Source organism: Homo sapiens, chromosome X, assembly GCF_000001405.40.
Source record: "Homo sapiens chromosome X, GRCh38.p14 Primary Assembly".
Taxonomy (NCBI): domain Eukaryota; kingdom Metazoa; phylum Chordata; class Mammalia; order Primates; family Hominidae; genus Homo; species Homo sapiens.
Window position 1 is genome coordinate 29,412,535 of NC_000023.11, and position 12,154 is coordinate 29,424,688.

The following is a 12,154-nucleotide window of genomic DNA, read 5'->3' on the forward strand; positions in this document are numbered from 1 at the left end:
GATAATATTTAGTTAAATAAGATATACTACAAAATTGATTTTACCTCTTTTCACTTTTTTAAATGTAGCTGCTAGAAAATTTTTAATTGTATATGTAGTTCGGCTTATATTTCTGTTGCACAGAGCTACTCTTGAAAGTGAAGTGTGGTATCAGCCTGGAGAAGTGTAAGGGAAACACACAAGACCAAGCATCTAAGGGTTGTCTTAGTTCCATTGGTGGAGCTGCCATGCCTGGGCTCAGTGACCTTAACTAAGTTATCTGTCTTCATTAAATGTTGTCTTAGTGTTGAGACTGTGAATAGTCATCACTCACAGTGCTTTGGTGAGGGGTAAATTAGCGCAGATGCATCAAACCGGACTGTGAAGGAATATACAAATGGAAGTGGCTACTGCCATGATTTGGTTTGATTTTTGAATCTTTACCTTGGTGATATGGTTTGGCTATGTCCTCACCCAAATTTCATCTTAAATTGTAGCTCCCATAATTCCCACATCTTGTGGGAGGGACCCCGTTAGAGGTAATTGAGTCATGGGGGCGGGTCTTTGCCATGCTGTTCTGGTGATAGTGAGTAAGTCTCACGAGATCTGATAGGTTTAGAAAAAGGGAGTTCCCCTGCACACGCTCTCTTGCCTGCTGCCATGTAAGGCACCGCTTTGCTCTTCCTTCATCTTCTGCCATGATTTCCCAGCCATGTGGAACTGTGAGTCCATTAAACCGCTTTCCTTTATAAATTACCCAGTCTCAGGTATTTATTAGCAGCGTGAGAACAGACTAATACACGTGGTTTGTTTCAGTTAATGTAATTTTAATATTTATAATCTTTTTTTTATTATTATACTTTAAGTTTTAGGGTACATGTGCACAACGTGCAGGTTTGTTACATATGTATACATGTGCCATGTTGGTGTGCTGCACCCATTAACTCGTCATTTAACATTAGGTATATCTCCTAATGCTATCCCTCCCCCCTACCCCCACCCCACAACAGGCCCCGGTGTGTGATGTTCCCCTTCCTGTGTCCATGTGTTCTCGTTGTTCAGTTCCCACCTATGAGTGAGAACATGCGGTGTTTGGTTTTTTGTCCTTGTGATAGTTTGCTGAGAATGATGGTTTCCAGCTTCATCCATGTCCCTATAATATTTATAATATTAATCTATTCCGTCAAATGTCACTGATTATCATCAATACAATTATTGACTAACATTCATTGACCATTAAGTAATGGTTTATATGTGTGGAGAAAATTCAGAATATCTTATTTGTGTGCAAGCTACTAACAAATGAATTTCAATGTCTTTAACTGGGGTAAATAATGAATATGTGCATTTCTACCTTTGATATGATTATATATATTTATATGTATACAAATGCATACATACGTATGTATGTGTATATATATGTGTGTGTGTGCCCCTATATTAATATATGTCTTATTGACTATTACAGTCACTTATTTGCATCTAAGAAATCAGGGGAACATTTTTCTATACTTTTTTTTGCAATAATATTATTTTCTATTTTACAAAACTGATTTATTTTTTGTGGTTAACATTCCAAAGACCCATTTGATCATGATTCCTCTCATATGAGGTACCTAGAATAGGCAAATTCATAGAGACAGAAAATAGAGTAGAGATTATTAAAGGTTGGGGAACAGGGGAATGGGAAGTTATTGTTCAGTAGTTAGCAGAGATTCAGTTTGGGATGATAAAAAAAAGTTCAAGAGATGGATAAAGGTGATGGTAGCACAACATTTTGAATGTATTTAATGCCATTTAATTGTACACTTAAAATTAGTTAAAATGGTAACTTTTATCTTATATATCTTACCACACAAAAAAAGATTCATTTGAAAATAAATGGCTGTTCTTAATAGTTTGGAGCATATTTTTAAAATTATTTGCCAAGTGTGGTGGCTTGCCCCTGTAAACCCATCACTTTGGGAGGCTGAGACGAGAGGACCACTTGAGCCCAGGAGTTTAAGACCAGCCTGGGCAACATGGGGAAACCCTATCTCTACAAAAAAATACAAAGAATTAGCTGGGCATGGTGGTGCATGTCTGTAGTTCCTGCTACTCAGGAGGCTGAGGTGGGAGAATCGCCTGAGCCCAAGAGGTCCAGGCTATGGTAATGAGACTCTCACTCAAAAAAGAAAAATATCATATCAAAGATTTTTTTTTAAAGATCATCTTTTCTCTACTTCATGTTGGCTCTCTACTTTGACAGGTATTGATTTTTCTGTAAAACTTTTGAAGCTCAAACCATTATGTCGGCACTTTATATTAACTGCTTTTAGTTTTGACATCAGCAAAATTGACTGAAAACTCAATATTGCACCTGTTTCAATACAGAGTCTCTGGTGTGGAAAGATTAGCAAGATAAGCTAAAGAAACTTCTATTGTTCAACTTTATCTTCTCAGTCTCATCAAATCAAAGATTGAAAATGTACTCTAGGAGGATGTATTTCTGGTGAGGTTAGATGACTACACATCTAAAAGTAAAAGTTTTAAGAGTAAAATATAACATAATAAGGATCTAGAATCTTGAAGAAAGATTCCAACATATTTTATGACAATTAAGTCTCTAGGTACCATTAATAAAGATGACTGTAACCTCAGAGCTAAAAGCATTTAGTTCATTATTCCATGCAAACTCGTTAAAATATGAAGACTAAACTTAGCATCTAGTGTCACCACTAAAAACTGTTTAAAACTTATGTGATATTGAGTGAGATACATTTCTTTATGGTTTAATAAGTGAATTAGATGTCTCAGTGTGATGATGCCTATATCTACATGCACGTGAATGTGTGTATACATAGATCTATATAATATATATCTATAAATATGTATTTTCATTGGATAGAGAATTATTAACCATTTTGTTTTTTTTTTTCTTTTTTGAGACAGAGTCTCGCTCTGTTGCCCAGGCTGGAGTGCAGTGGTGCAATCTCGGCTCACTGCAACCTCTGCCTCCCGGGTTCAAGTGATTCTCCTGCCTCAGCCTCCCAAGTAGCTGGGATTACAGGCGCGTGCCACCACGCCCGGCTAATTTTTTGTATTTTTAGTAGAGGTGGGGTTTCACCGTTTTAGTCAGGACGGTCTTGAACTCCTGACGTTGTGATCCACCCACTTTGGCCTCCCAAAGTGCTGGGATTACAGGCGTGAACCACCGCGCCCAGCCATTAAACCAATTTTATATATACAGCTCTTATAGTTTTAATTTTATTTTTGCCACTTAGTGGCAAGAAATTTGTTACTTGGTATAAATAAAACCAAGTTGATTTGTTTAAGCAGTAGGTTCCCATTAGACTTAATGATGTTGTATCATCCCATTATTAATTTGAATAAATTTCTATTATGTTATTTTTCAAAATGAACAACAGTGCATAGAATCAACAATTGAGTCACTGCAATAGCAGTATAACCATGCTACTCCTTCAATATGGGAGTTTTTGTTAACAAACTAAACTCTGACAGCTTAATGTATGCAAGATTAAGAAAAAAAATAAAACCACAAGCTAATTTCTTATTATACTCACTTTGTGTATTATACTTAATGGGGTCTCAGATTTGTTTTTCTTCTTTCCTAGACACCAGATTACCAGGAACAGTGAGAACTTAGGTAGAAATGTGGATAATGGTACACTAATAACTAGAGGTTTACAAAATAGGAAAGGTTAAAGGAACTGAGAATATTACTATTATTTGGATTTTAAAAAACTCTGGGCTGGGCGCATTGGCTCACTCACGACTGTAATCCTAGCACTTTGGGAGGCCGAGGCAGGCAGATCACCTGAGATCAGGAGTTCGAGACATGGTGACACCTTGTTTCTACTAAAAATACAAAAATTAGCTGGGTGTGGTGGCACACACCTGTAGTCCCAGCTACTCGGGAAGCCGAGGCATGAGAATCACTTGAACTTGGGGGGGCAGAGGTTGCAGTGAGCCAAAATCGCGCCACTGCACTCCAGCCTGGGCGACAGAGTTAGACTCCGTCTCAAAACAAACAAACAAACAAACAACAACGAAAACCTCAATGATGTGCCATAATAAGATGTTAAGTACTGGAAGTGTTCAGAATAATGGAAGAGCAGCAAAGGGTGACTACATTAAAAATCCAGCAGGTAATGAGTTTCATGAGGATTTACAAATTGTTTTTTAAAAAATATTGATTAAATTTATTGCTCTGTGATTTTAGCATTTAAGGATAGTTCCTGGAAAAAACAAACAAACAAAAAACACTGCTCAATAATAGGGAAGACTTTTGGTGCTGTATTCTTTGGAGGTTTTAAAAATATGACAGAAACCCATTTGAGGCATGTTCAGGCATAGACAAATTGGAGGAAGGTCACTGAGACTCTAGTAATTTTTTTATTATGTTAAAATTTTTATGGTTCATTTTTCCTAATATTTTGTAGTTTAAAAAATAGGGAGCAATTTAAAAAATCAAAACATTAGGTTTTGATATGACAGTTTAATAATTACATAAAGGAATTTAAAATAATGAATGCTATTTTTAAACTGTTCAAACTATTTTAAAGAGCTTCTATTACTCTTACACTATGAAAAGGTCCACTAATTATATCCCAGGGTTAGTTTTCCCTTGCCTTTATCACAATATTGAAGGCTCTTTCTTGATGATAAAACCAAGAGGTAACTCTTAACTTGCAATTGATGTAGATATTTTGTAACATATATTTAGAAGAATTTCTAAAAACTATTTTTGAGAAAACTGCATGAAAATGGAGTTGGTTTTTTTCATGTCAAAATATATAACTTTTGCATCATAAGAGATTTAATGTTTTCATTTCTTAAAATGCTTGACCAAGTCTTTTAGTCATTATATTAGCATCTCTTGTTCCATCTGGAGGACCTAAAAATCCAATGAACTGTAAATGGGCAGTTCAATATGAATATGCAAATTAAAGACATTATGAATTCTATGTAAGATGTAAAGAAGTAGCTTACTCTGTGCCTTAATTAGAAGACCTTACTGTATATTTCTTTATCATTTGTTGGGTTGATCATCGGGTTCCACTCCAACATATCCACCAGGAATTCTGGTATATAAATGGCATCAAAGATTGTTTACAAATATCGTGGACAATGTCTCAAGTGATAATTGCAATATGTTTCTCAGGGAAGAAAAAAATACAACTTTTGTGAATATTATTTTTAAAACAGAAATGCTGTATATAGTCACTACTGTCTTCTGATGGTAATGATAGAAATTTTGGAACCTTTAATGAGTACTTATTGTTAAAGTTCCATTAGATAATTATGTTCTGTTTACATACTGCCATCATTTGAAGAACATATTTGCTTTATTCACCAAATCTTGAAGCATACTCTACACATGAATTTAAATGCTACTATTTCTATTACCCACCCTCAGAGTCTTCTAATTTCTAATATTTACTTAAATATTTTGGTTTTCAAAATTTTACCTATGATTATAAAGCACACACTGAGCTTTTATTTTAAAATTGAGGCTTGTGCTGTCAATTTAAGGATGAGAGAAGCACAGAGAAACGTGTTCTTTTTAAAAAAGTAATATATATATATATATATATATATATATATATATATTTTTTTTTTTTTTTTTGAGATGGAGTCTTGCTCTGTCGCCCAGGCTGGAGTGCAGTGGCATGATCTCGGCTCACTGCAACCTCTGCCTCCCAGGTTTCAAGCGATTCTTCTGCTTCAGCCTCCTGAGTAGCTGGGATTACAGGCCCACGCCACCACGCCCCACTAATTTTTGTATTTTTTTAGTAGAGATGGGGTTTCACCATGTTGGTCAGGCTGGACTCAAACTCCTGACCTCCTGATCTGCCCACCTCAGCCTCCCAAAGTGCTGGGATTACAGGCGTGAGCCACTGCGCCCGGCCAAAAAAATAAAATATATTTTAAACCTTTAAAAGCAAACTTGGTTATCAATGTATCATGTTTCTGTGTATCAACTTTTATAAGTCCACTACTCAAAATGTAACCTGAAAACAGAATTTTTCCAATTAGATATTGTTGCTATGGCGTAATTGAGCTAGTTAATGATATAACTCTTTCAGAATAATAAGTCAATAATAGTTATCAGCACCAAACATGAAGGAAGTGAAGTAGAAGATATATGAAAAATAACCATTAATATTAAAACAATATATTATGGGGGCAGCAAATAGGTAGTAAGCTATTTACTATTCATTAGTTGGTTATGACATTGCTAAAATTAAATTAAAACAAAAGGTGAATACAAATACAATGAAGTAGTTTGGATGATGTTTTCCATTTGGGGTATATAATCAGATCATTTTATGTTAATCTAATTTGTCTTTGAGTTAAATAAACCCAATAGTGTTGACCTGCCTTTTCATGTGTCATTTTTTCAACATTGTCGTTTGATAAACATTTAGTAAGAAATAAAATTACACTCAGAGCAATAATTTTATACTTTCGCAAGCTATTTATAAAATCTAATTGTATAAATGAATGTGTTCTTTAAAGATCTGTATTTGTTGTTTATGATGAAGTTAAGAAGTTATAGCTACTTCTGGTGCTGTTCAAAATGAAGATTGGAAATAATACAGTGAAGTAGATCTTTAACCCAGATAGTTTGAGATGCACTCTTCTGGATGGCGGATGAAGGACTGAAACAAAGGCCAGGCAGTTAGTTTGCAGAAAAGAAATATGTAGGAAGTAAGACAAAATAATTAATTACATATACGTAATGACATATACTTCTTCTCATTCAAATAATCTCTAGTCATTAATTCCAGGAAAATTACTCAGATAATTTTTTTTTTTTTGAGCCAGAGTTTCGCTCTTATCACCCAGGCTGGAGTGCAATGGCATGATCTCGGCTCACTGCAACCTCTGCCTCCCAGGTTCAAGTGATTCTCCAGTCTCAGCCTCCCAAGTAGCTGGGATTACAGGTGCCCACCACCAGGCCTGGCTGATTTTTGTATTTTTAGTAGAGATGGCGTTTCACCATGTTGGCCAAGCTGGTCTTGAACTCCTGACCTCAGGTGATTCACCTGCCTCGGCCTCCCAAAATGCTGGGATTACAGGCATGAGCCACCGTGCCCGGCCTACTCAGATAATTTTTAAAATGTGTGCTTTTTTTGTTTGTTCATAACATTCAGAGTTCTAGAGCATAATTACAGAGTATTTCAACAATGCTCAGTTAGTAGTGGTTAAATCTTCCACTTCAGTGCAGCTGTTGCTCTGTCATGTAAACATACCAAATGTACCTTCAATAGGAGTTTAAGATTTTTTTTATATGTATTTCTGTACTTTGGAAATAGTTTCTAGTGGGTGGGTGTGGCAGAGGAGACTCTTGTTGGTTAGTATAGAGCTGTTGCTGTGGAGCAGCTGCTCAGCCAGAAATTCAATTTCCCAGCCCCTCTTGCTTCTAGGTGGAACCATGTGACTAGTTCTTATCAATGAGTATAAGGGAAGGAATGTCATTTCTGAGCCAATGTAATGACGAAGTAGATATGCTTTTTCCCTGTCTTTCTTTCTCCATCAATTACTGGATGCAGACAATGGCAAGGTTTTAACAGATGGAAGGTGCCCAGGTCTCTAAATCACATAATGGGGGGAATTTGGTCACTGACCAGAAAGACTGTCATTGAATGACTTCAGGAGTGAAAAATGAGTCTCAGTTAAATTAAATCACTGAAATGGTGAGGTTTACTTGAATGGCAGAAAGCCTTACCCTAAATAGCAGTGTTAGGCAAGTTTTACCAATGCAAAGTCATTTGAATAAAAGAGAAATTTATTGTAAAGTCACAAATGGTCTAGAACTGAAACTGCTAAGCTACACAGCTGCCACTTTCCTGTTTGAATGCTTCTTTCTACACGGTTTCTCCATCTGCTATGCACTTACCAGATCTCTGAATGTTCAGTCTATACATTTTTCAACAGCCAAATCAAAAACCCATCTCTTCTGGTCAACCTTCAGTCCTCTCTCCTAGATCTGGACAGTCCCATTTTCCTTAGTGGTCAGTTTGCTTTTTGACACTTTTTTCTTTCCCCTCCACAGTGATTTGGCCAATTGGATATATTCCTACTCTTTCACACTAGCCTGTAAGGCCCTCGAGCCACGACTTTGTCTTCAGCATTATTTAGCATAGAGAGAAAAGATGATTAATAAGTACTTTTGAAATGTTTAATAAGCAAAAGCTGAGTTGGGAATGTATTTTAGAAATATATGCTATTGTAGATAGCTAAATGTGATTTTAGTCTTTATCACAAACTTCTTAGTAATTATTTGAGAGCTTTCAGCATATTTATAAAAATAATTTAAAATATAACTATTTTACTTGAAAGTCTTTGTATATTCATTGTTCTTGAATTAGTAGGTAATAATCCTAATGAGCCATAACAACTGTTCTCTCTTCAAAATAATTCTGATGATAGGGTTTTCTTCTTAAGTCAGCACAAAATTTATTCTTTATATAGGGTCAATTGAAGTGTTTTTAAAAGCATGCACAGCTCTGGTAATTCATTCATAAAACACAGGAAAATGTTTTAAAGTCAAAAGCTTCAAAAAGATTCACAATGTGAAAAACATAAATTAGAACATTAAGGAAACTTGTGTTGTAGGACTTTTTCCTTAGTTCAGCTAGAAACCAGGTTCTTGTCACATGACCAGGAAAGATTAGGTTCCTAGACACAGTAGAAGGGTGGGAAAAATGGAATTTATTGGGCAAAAAGGAAAAAGGAAAAACAACACAGCAAAGTGAGATGGGGTCCTGCTAAGGGGCTCTCCACCTCACCAAACGAATCCCAGGGTTACCACCCCAGAACAGGAGAGGCCAGGCTCCTCCCCGCTGCAAAGGGCATGAACTTCCCTCATCTCCACACTCCCACACATACCCCCACCCCTGTTCTCCCAGTTTGCAGGCCAGTTGTAGGTTCTCCAAGAACCCCTTTCTCCTTTATTACTTGGCTGTCTCACTTAGAAGACTGATGCTAGCAAAAAACATACACAGGAAAAATAAGAGAGTAACAGAAAAAAAAATCTGGCAAAGAAGGCAGAAGGGAAAGAGACTAAGCCATAAGAGAGAGAGAGAAAAAAAAAATCTCTGGTCTGGGAAGGGCATATTTTCTAAGCATTAGTGTGTAAGATGGAGAAGCAACTCATTAAGCTGTCCTTTAATGTAGTATTATCCATAATAGTACAATATGAGAAACAACTCAAATTCCCCAAAAATGATACAGAATGGATTTTATAAATCACGTAAGCCAGTGCCATAGAAAAGAGTCTGAATTCGAGTGGTGTGACTTCAGTTATAGTCCTGTTTGCAGCCTGGTACAGGACTTAGGCAAATATTTTAATTCTTACTTGTATGTTTGGGAGGCAAGGTAAAGACTTCGCCTTCACCCTCTGAAGATACCCTGAAAAATCAACTCACAGAAAGCAGATTAATTGGAAAAAAGACATATACATTTATTAACGTGTGCATGAGGAGAACCAGGGTGGTTACCCATCTTGCCAGTGGAGTTCAGAAGCTTATATGCCATCCTGGTCAAACAGGTTATGGGAGTGGAGAGAAGAGGAATTTTGGTGAGGGACAATAAAGGATCCTTAGGGAGAACAGAACCCATCTGGGAGCAGAGATTAATTAAGTTGTAAATAGTTCTCTTTGGAATTTGAATGAGCCTGAGAGACAGGTTAGTCTTCCACAGAGGGGAAGAAACAACAGTTATCCTTTTTGGTGAGTTTGGACTTTAGACATATAAAAGAACTTCAAAGAACAGCTTCCTCCTGGCTTGAGAGAGTCATTTGCGGGCGGGGAGAGGGAGGGAATCAGAGAGGCTATGAGACTGCTTTTTCAGTTCAGCATGTTAAAGTGCCATATTTGGGGTATCGGTTTTTGAACCCCATCATAGGCTACAGAACCCTACAGTTCCTTTCAAGGCTGAAAGTTTCTAATACAGTAAAGTGTTTAAAAGTTTACACTATTCTGATTTTAGCAGATTTCCCAAATGGTATATCTCTTCATAGTGTTAGGTAAGGCAGAAAGCTATTCTTTAAAGAGCAAATCTCTGAAAGCTAATGATGCCTGGGTTGCAATCTAAATGATATTTTTTTCTTTTTCTAAAATGCCAAGGGCAAGTTGACTTTTAGAGTTAATTTCTTTCATTTATATAAAATGGTAATGAGAGTTAAATTATATTTAGGCACCTGGTACATTACCTAGCCTGTAATAAACTCTCTGTAAATGCTAGTTTCCTCCCTCTGTTGCATTAAAACAACTACAAGATGAAAAACCTATGTAAACCAAAAATAAAAGTCTAAGCCCCACAACCAACAGAATGGACCCCTCCTTTCGGCCAAGAGCATTATAAAGGAAACCTGAAATATTAGTTCAGGCCTTGATGAAATGGATGGTTGGATATGCCTCATTATACTTTCCTCCCTTTGATATTTAGGCTAACCAGCATTAGCATTAAAACAGAGACCTGAAGACTGACAGAACTAGACTCTTTAAGCCTGATAAGAAACATTTACAACTGATTCCCTCTAAAGCCTGCTACCTGGAGGCTTCATCTGCATAATAAGAATTTGGGTCTCTATAATCCCTTATCTTAACCCAGACATTCCTTCTATTGATTCCAAGTCTTAGATAAATTCTTTCCACCAATTGCTAATCACAGAATCTTTGAATCCACCTACTACCTGGAAGCACCCCCACAACACACACACAATGGCTTCAAGTTGTCCTGCCTTTCTGGACCAAACCAAAGTACATTTTCCATTTATCGATTTATGTCTTTTGTCTCCCTAAAACGTATAAAGCCAAGCTGTAGCCCAACCACCTTGGGCATGTATTGTCAGGATGTCCTGAGGTTGTGTCATGGACATGTCCTCAACCTTGGCAAAAGAAACTTCTAAATTGATTGAGACTTGTCTCAGATACTTTTTGGTTTACAACTGAAAACAATATAGGTTAGCGATACATCTATTCTGGTGTCAACGCCAGAATAGTTTGTCACAGTCAAATTTTATTACTGTGATTCAAACCATGGTAAAATTATAACTTAAATTTTATAAGATAGATAAAAACAATTCAATTAATATTCCCTGGTTAGTTTCAGTCATAATGATTATATAAGTTGGGTATTCTCAATTACATGAGCATCTCTTTAAGGCAGATGAGAATTTGATGATGTTAATCATGATGATGATTACTAGCATTTATTGAATGTCTACTATATGCACCACTCTAAGCACCTTGCATATACTATCTAATTTAAACTGGCTCATAGATGACATACTAGTTTAGAGTGTACTATTTGTTGACTGCATTTTACCCTGTACTTCAATTTGATAGACAGTGTAGATGTACTAAATTCATTCTTCATTCCCTTTACAAAAATTGACTGAGTTCTTATTGATGTGCTGTCCTGGACAGTGTGAAAAATCAAAGGATGAATCAGGCAGAGACCTCTTCGAGCAGATATTATTGAGCAGAAGAGGTAAATTATGCACACAATAGGGTGCAAGATGAAAAGTGGTATGAGATGAATGATCATAAAGGGTGGTGGGAATTCTGAGATGATCATGAAAAGTTTCCTGCCCAAGTGGAATTTGAATTTGTCCTTGAAAGAGAGTGAAATCTGGACTGGGAATGTCAAATTAAAAATAAAAATCCAGACTTTGTAAGGTGGGGAGACTATTGCAATTGGGAAGCTACTCTAACTATAAGATCTACAAGCCTTTCAAAGTTAGGCAAAAGGATTTTTCTTTCATAGGGAAGAGTAAACAAGGCTGGAAAGAAAAAAAAAAAAAGCAGATGTAGGGAAGTGGGATGAAAAGGAGTGGCAAGATGTGACAGTGGACCCCAGAATATTTAATCCTAAAGCCAGTATAGTCTCTGGAAGGGGGCTATTAAGAGGGATTGTATGTTGCCTCAGGCTAAGGTGGTGCAAAGCTCAGGGATCTAGAGGAAGGACAGAATGTTAACCGTCTTTCTTTAAGAAGCATTATATTCTGATTGATCACTTGGGGCAAAACAGTTCATAATTATCTATGAGGCAAAGAGTGGGAATTTTGAGTCTTTTTGTATGGCCCTGTCATAGGCAAGCCAGGGGAACAACTGTGAAGCAGGGTGGTTCTGTGCAGTAAGCCATTTCCCAAAACACAAAA

The 12,154-nt window shown here is 36.6% G+C and overlaps 1 protein-coding gene across 3 annotated transcripts in view, besides 1 other annotated feature; it reads left to right on the top strand.

Annotated features, from left to right (window-relative positions):
* The window catches only part of IL1RAPL1 (interleukin 1 receptor accessory protein like 1), a 1,369,273-nt gene that overhangs the window by 825,089 nt on the left and 532,030 nt on the right, over positions 1 to 12,154 (top strand). The gene's annotated exons all lie outside the window — the stretch shown is intronic.
* Positions 9,418 to 9,919: an enhancer, noted in NCBI's record as "NANOG hESC enhancer chrX:29440069-29440570 (GRCh37/hg19 assembly coordinates)". NCBI's record gives its function as "activates a minimal SCP1, AML or CMV promoter by ChIP-STARR-seq in primed H9 embryonic stem cells {active_cell/tissue: H9 hESC(primed)}" and the evidence as "EXISTENCE:reporter gene assay evidence [ECO:0000049][PMID:30033119]".